This window comes from Homo sapiens, chromosome 15 (genome assembly GCF_000001405.40).
Source record: "Homo sapiens chromosome 15, GRCh38.p14 Primary Assembly".
In the NCBI taxonomy this organism is placed as follows: Eukaryota; Metazoa; Chordata; class Mammalia; order Primates; family Hominidae; genus Homo; species Homo sapiens.
Genome location: NC_000015.10, coordinates 41,145,245 through 41,152,734, shown reverse-complemented (window position 1 = coordinate 41,152,734; position 7,490 = coordinate 41,145,245). Strand labels below are relative to the sequence as shown.

The window sequence follows — 7,490 nt, the reverse complement described above, 5'->3', positions numbered from 1 at the left end:
TCTGATGTTTGGATGTGTTCCGAGTTTCTTCCTTCTCGCGGGTTCGTAGTCTCGCTGGCTCAGAAGTGAAGCTGCAAACTTTCCTGGTGAGTGTTACAGCTCTTAAGGCGGCACGTCTGGAGTTGTTTATTCCTCCTGGGGGGGTTCGTGGTCTCGCTAGCTTCAGGAGCAAAGCTGCACACCTTCACAGTGAGTATTACAGCTCATAAGATCAGCGTGGACCCAAAGACTGAGAGTGAGCAACAGCAAGACATATCGCAAAGAACAAACCTCACACTACATGTAACGTGATCCGAGCGGGTTGCCATTACCGGCTCAGTCAGCCTGCTTTTATTCTCTTATCTGGCCCCACCCACATCCTGCTGATTGGTCCATTTTACAGAGAGCCGATTGGTCCATTTTGACAGGGTGCTGATTGGTGCATTTACAATCCCTGAGCTAGACACAAAAGTTCTCCACATCCCCACTAGATTAGCTAGATACAGTGTAGATTGTTGCATTCACAAACCCTGAGCTAGACACACGGTGCTGATTGGTGTGTTTACAAACCTTGAACTAGATACAGAGTGCCGATTGGTGTATTTACAATCCGTTAGCTAGACATAAAGGTTCTCCAAGTCCCCAACAGACTCAGGAGCCCAGCTGGCTTCACTCAGTGGATCCCCCACCGGGGCGCAGGTGGAGCTGCCTGCCAGTCCCGCGCCGTTCGCCCCCCACTCCTCAGGCCTTGGGTGGTTGATGGGACTGGGCGCCGTGGAGCAGGGGGCGGCGCTCCTCCGGGAGGCTCCCGCGGCACAGGAGCCCACGGAGTGGCAGGGAGGCTCAGGCGTGGCAGGCTGCAGGTCCCAAACCCTGCCCCGCGGGGAGGCAGCTAAGGCCTGGTGAGAAATTGAGCACAGCAGCTGCTGGCCCAGATGCTAAGCACCTCACTGCCCGAGGCGGCGGGGCCGGCTGGCCGCTCCGAGTGCGGGCTGGCGAGCCCATGCCCACCCAGAATTCAGGCTGGCCTGGAAGCACCGCGCACAGCCCCGGTTCCGGTTCCCGTAGGCGCCTCTCCCTCTACACCTCCGGGCAAGCTGAGGGAGCCGGCTTCGGCCTTGGCCAGCCCAGAAAGGGGCTCCCACAGTGCAGCGGGAGGCTGAAGGGCTCCTCAAGCGCGGCCAGAGTGGGCGCCAAGGCGGAGGAGGCGCAGAGAGCGAGCAAGGGCTGTGAGGGCTGCCAGCACGATGTCACCTTTCAATGGCTCAAGGGATTCACCTTGCCCAATGCCTAGAAAGACCCGATTCATCAAGACGGGAATTGCAATAGAGAAACAGTAATCACGCAGAGCTCGCTGTGTGGAAGACCAGAGTTTTTTTGTTTCTTTTTTTTTGAGAAGGAGTCTTGCTCTGTCACCCAGGCTGGAGTGCAGTGGAGCGATCTCTGCTCACTGCAACCTCTGCCTCCAGGTTCAAGCGATTCTCCTGCCTCAGCCTCACAAGCCGCTGGGACTACAGGCGCACACCACCACACCTGGTTAATTTTTGTATTTTTAGTAGAGACGGGGTTTCACCATGTTGGCTAGGCTGGTCTTAAACTCCTGACCTCGTGATCCACCCGCCTTGGCCTCCCAAAGTGCTGGGATTACAAGGCGTGAGCCACGGCATCCCACCCGAGTTGTATTATTACTTAAATTACTCTTTCCAAGCATTTGGGGAGCAGAGTTTCTAAGGATAACTTGGTGGGTGGAGGGAAGTCAGTGAGCCAGGAGTGCTGATTGGTCAGAGATAAAATCATAGAGCGTCTGAGCTGTCTTCTTCTTCTGTTCTGAGTCAGTTCCTGGATGGAGGCCACAAGATCAGATGAGCCAGTGTATTGATCTGGGTGGTGCCAGCTGATCCAGCAAGTGCAGGATCTGCAAAATGTCTAAAGCACTGATCTAAGGAGCAGTTTAGGCAGGGTCAGAATCTTGTAGCCTCCAGCTGCAGGACTCCTAAACCATAATTTCTAATCTTGTGGCTAAATTAGTCCTACTAAGGCAGTCTAGTCCCCAGGCAAGAAGGAGGACTGCTTTAAGAAAGGGCCTTTACCATCTTTGTTTAAACTATAAACGACAAACTAAGTTTCTTCCAAAGTTAGTTCAGTCTACGCCCAGGAATGAACTAGGACAGCTTGGGGGTTAGAAGCAAGATGGAGCCAGTTAAGTTAGATCTCTTTCACTGTCTCGGTCATAATTCTGCAAAGGCACTTTCACAAGCATGAACCTGGATTTAGCGTAAAGTTGCCTGCATTGCTTCACACTATGTTTACTGTTTTGCCTGGATAGTGCTAGATTACTTATTGGTTGTGTGCCTAAAGTGGATTTCTTGATTGCACAGAATGTATAATGATATTGGTGAACTTAAGGATATTGAATTGTGTATCAGGAATAAAATATTCATTATATGGGTTTTTTGGGGCCCTGGGTAACACTGTGGCCTCCAGAGTAAATTGAGCAGGAAAATTTATGGTTGGTTTCCTGTTTGTTTTTGCTTCTGGTTTTCATTTGTTTGCTGTTTATTCTCCTCTGGCTTTACTTGTGTATGCATATATATAAAACCATGGTTTTTTTTTAGTTCCTAGTGGAAGGCTTTTATTTAGTTCTGTGTTTCTATGCATTTCTAGCAAGTCATCATACATTCCATATATCTGGAATTCCTGAGCTACCTTTGTCAGGCCTGCAGGAATTAATGGAGCATGCCAACTTTTTATCCTTAAAATAACTTTTTGGATTTTGGGCTTCCTGATACTTTAAGCATATTGAGTATACTCTCACAAATAGAATTTGAGTCATATTTCTCTCTCTGCCTAGATTCTCCAAAATTTGTAAACAATTTGTGAATATTCTTAATTCATGGCAATATGTTTGTCTGCATACAGTCAAGCATGGGTCGCCAGGGCCGCTCAGGGAGAGAGAACCCAGAAAGCTGGCATGTCGGCAAAAGGGTAATAATTTCGTACCACTCAGTCTCTGACTTCTTTCTGTCTGTGCAAAGTGATTAATCTCCTCTGTAAAGTTTTAAATTAATTGGTTTAATAATAATAAGAGCTTAAATCAAACATTTTGCCAGAAAAGTAGAACGTGTAATGCCCTTTAGTTCATGTGACTTTAGCAATCTTCGGGAAATAAAGACAGTTTTAAAGATTATTGGTCAAATACAATTGTCTTCTAAATGTAAACGTGGTCTAAATTATGTTCAAATATTAGGTTTGCTAAATGCTTTAAGGTCACAGACTGCTTCTTTGGCTTTTGAAAACTGTTTAACTTGCCTGCTTTCCAGCTAGGTAAGGCCTGAGGACATGTGGAGTTGGCCACGCCCCTAGCTGTGCTGGAAATAGTCAAACCTTATCAGAAAATAACTTATTAGGTTTTACATTAAAATTCACCATTATAATATGCAATTAAGACTACTAGAGGCGGCCAGGCTTGGTGGCTCATGCCTGTAATCCCAGCACTTTGGGAGGCCAAGGAGGGCAGATCACCTGAGGTCAGGAGTTTGAGAGACCAGCCTGGCCAACATGGAGAAACCCCATTTTATTAAAAATACAAAATTAGCCAGGCGTGGTGGCGCATGCCTGTAATCCCAGCTATTCCAGAGGCTGAGGCAAGAGAATCACTTGAACCTGGGAGGCGGAGGTGGTGGTGAGTGGTGCGCCGAGATCATGCCATTGCAGTCTAGCCTGGGCAACAAGAGTGAAACTGTCTCAAAAAAAAAAAAAAAAAAAAAAAAAAGACTACTAGAGGCCGGCGCGGTGGCTCGTGCCTATAATCCCAGCACTTTAGGAGGCCAAGGCGGGCAGATCACCTGAGGTCAGGAGTTTGAAACCAGACTGGTCAACATGGTGAAACCCCATCTCTACTAAAAATACAAAAAATAGCCAGGCATGGTGGTGCATGCCTGTAATCCTAGCCACTCAGGAGGCCGAGGCAGGAGACTCGCTTGAGCCCAGGAGGCAGAGGTTGCAGTGAGCCAAGATCATGCCATTGCACTCCAGCCTGGGCAACAAGAGCAAAACTCCGTCTCAAAAACAAACAAATACAACTAGACTCCAGGAGTGGTGGCTTATGCCTGAAATCCCATCACTTTAGGAGGCTAAGGTGAGTGGATTACCTGAGGTCAGGAGTTCGATACCAGCCTGGCCAACATGGTGAAAACCTATCTGTACTGAAAATACAAAAATTGGTTGGGCACAGTAGTGTGCACGTGTAGTCCCAGCTACTCAGGAGGCTGAGGAGGGAGAATCACTTGAACCTGGGAGGCGGAGGTTGCAGTGAGCCCAGGTGGTACCACTGCACTCCAGTCTGGGCAACAGAGCAAGACTCTGTCTCAAAAAAAAAGAAAAAAAGACTACTAGAAATGGTTGTTCATGCAAGGTGTGTAAAAACAATAGAATACAATGTATTTTGTTTTGTTGTTAAAGGTTATAAAAGGCTTTTGCTTCTTTAAAATTTCTGAGTCATCACTTTGGCAAAATAAATAATTTATGGTAATCTGGAATTCCAAAATCAAACTTCCGTTTCAAAATTATCTTTCCTAATGCTTGGCTTTCTGGATGGATCAGAGGGCCCCTGAAAACATCCAGAAAAGAGGTAAACAGGATTATTTGACCTGTTTAGGTACATGGAATTGCCAAAATGATGTTCAATCTTCTTTAGGTTGTATTTGTGTGAATAATACTAATATATATCCCAAAATTTTATGGGATTTCTAAAATTCTAATGTCTAAGTATATGGTACCAATCACAATTATAGTTATTATGTTAAGTTATTGTAAACTACAGAAATAACCAAATTTCCTTGTATGAAGCTACTAACCCAAGTAGAACAACAACAACAAAAAATTAAATATCAAGAAAATACTTTCATGTTCAGCTAACACTGAAATTGTTTTTGTTTGTTTGTTTTGAGACAGAGTCTTGCTCTGTCACCCAGGCTGGAGTGCAGGGGTGCGATCTCAGATCACTGCAAACTCCACCTCCCGGGTTCAAGTGATACTCCGCCTCCCGGGTTCAAGTGATTCTTCTGCCTCAGCCTCTGGAATAGCTGGGATTACAGGCACCCACCACAATGCCTGGCTAATTTTTGTATATTTAGTAGAGACAGGGTTTCACCATGTTGGCCAGGCTGGGCCCGAACTCCTGACCTCAAGTGATCCACCCGCCTCGGCCTCCCAAACTGTTAGGATTAAAGGGGTGAGCCTTCGCGCCCAGCTGATTTTTATTTTCAATGTATGTTTTCTTCTTGTATGAAAGCTTTCTCATGCAAGAGGGCTGATGTTATAACAGTAGATTATTACGGTACAGTGTATTTTCACCAGGTAAAGAAAGTTTTTTATAGTTTGAATCTTCTGGAAACATCAGAGAATAACTGTCCTTTCCACACTACAAGAAAACTTCGGGACCTTGAATGGGTTCATAATCTCACAGCTGAGAAGGGTCCTCCGTGCTCTTAGAGCTGTGCACCCACTGGATCCCTTAAGGTAAAACTAACCAGGGAAAATTCTCCCAAGAAGAGGATGTCATCCTTGATGTGAACAGCTTTTCCCAAGTTCACAGGTGAAGACTTCTACTATCATGACGTTTTATCTTTGAATATTTTTTTTCTTGCTTATGCCTCTATAAACAATAGAAGTGAAAAAGGGGTCTGTTATGGGCACTAATGGGGTATACTTTTATTTGTAAAGGAGTTTGCAGCCAGCCTTATACGTGGATAACCTTATACATTAATAGATTAAAAAATGAAGGCCCTTGGGAGGCCGAGGTGGGCGGATCATGAGGTCAGGAGTTCGAGACCAGCCTGACCAACATGGAGAAACCCCGTCTCTACTAAAAATACAAAAATTAGCCAGGCATGGTGGCCCACGCCTGTAATCCCAGCTACTCAGGAGGCTGAGGCAGGAGAATCACTTGAACCCGGGAGGCGGAGGTTGCAGTACGCCAAGATCGCACCACTGCACTCCAGCCTGGGCAACAGAGTGAGACTCTATCTCAAAAAAAAAAAAAAAAAAAAAAAAAAAGAAGGCCCAATGTGGATAAGAAACTTTAATGGTACATACGTTCATACGTTGCCTCATAATAAGTCAAAAACAAAACATTGGTTCACTCCTCTTTTTTTTTTTGAGACAGAGTTTTGCTCTTATAGCCCAGGCTGAAGTGCAACGGCACCATCTCGGCTCATTGCAACCTCTGCCTCCAGAGTTCAAGCGACTCTCCTGACTCAGTTTCTGAGTAGCTGGGGTTACAGGGATGCGCCACCACACCCTGCTAAATTGTTTTGTATTTTTAGTAGAGAGGGGGGTTTCTCCATGTTGGTCAGGCTGGTCTCGAACTCCTGACCTCAGGTGATCCACCCGCCTCAGCCTCCCAAAGTGCTGGGATTACAGGCTGTGAGCCACCATGCCCAGCCAGAGTTTCCCTCTTCTCACCCAGGCTGGAGTGCAATGGCACAATCTCGGCTCACCGTAACCTCTGCCTCCTGGGTTCAAGCCTCCCAAGTACCTGGGGTTACAGGCGCCCGCCACCAAGCCTGGCTAGTATTTATTCATTTATTTATTTTTGAGACAGAGCCTCACTCTGTCACCCAGGCTGGAGTGCAGTGGCACTATCTCAGCTCACTGCAAGCTCCGCCTCCCAGGTTCAAGCCATTCTCCTGCCTCAGCCTCCCGAGTAGCTGGGACTACAGGCGCCCGCTACCACGCCCGGCTTATTTGTGTGTGTGTGTGTGTGTGTGTGTGTGTGTGTGTGTGTGTGCGCGCGCGCGCGCGCGCATGTGTGTGTGTGTGTATTTTTAGTAGAGACGGGATTTCACCATGTTAGCCAGGGTGGTCTCGATCTCCTGACCTCGTGATCCGCCTGCCTCGGCCTCCCAAAGTGCTGGGATGACAGTCGTGAGCCACCATGCCTGGCCGAGCCTGGCTAGTTTTTAATTTTTAGTAGAGACAGGGTTTCTCCATGTTGGTCAGGCTGGTCTCATAAACTCCTGACCTCAGGTGATCTGCTCTCATTGGCCTCCCAAAGTGCTGGTATTACAGGTATGAGCCACCGCACCCAGCCCTCGTTCACTCCTCTTAACCCACATCATGGGTTAAAGAGAACATTGCCAGGAGTCCTTCACTCTTCTAAAAGAAAGGGCATCATTTGTTAGGTCCTTTTTCCATGGTTTAATGTAAAAGAAGCAATGATTAGAAATGGATCCCTTGGCTGGGCACAGTGGCTCACGCCTGTAATCCCAGCATTTTGGGAGGCTGAGGTGGGCAGATCACAAGGTCAGGAGTTCTAGACCAGCCTGTCCAACATGATGTAACCCCATCTCTACTAAAAATACAAAAATTAGCCGGGCGTGGTGGCATGTGCCTGTAATCCCAGCTACTTGGGAGGCTGAAGTAGGAGAATTGCTTGAACCTCGGAGGTGGAGGTTGCAGTGAGCAGAGATTGCACTACTGCACTCCAGCTCTGGAAGACAGAGCAAGAC

The 7,490-nt window shown here is 47.1% G+C and overlaps 1 annotated feature.

The window, feature by feature from the left end:
* Positions 789-1,289: an enhancer, noted in NCBI's record as "H3K27ac hESC enhancer chr15:41443644-41444144 (GRCh37/hg19 assembly coordinates)". NCBI's record gives its function as "activates a minimal SCP1, AML or CMV promoter by ChIP-STARR-seq in naive H9 embryonic stem cells {active_cell/tissue: H9 hESC(naive)}" and the evidence as "EXISTENCE:reporter gene assay evidence [ECO:0000049][PMID:30033119]".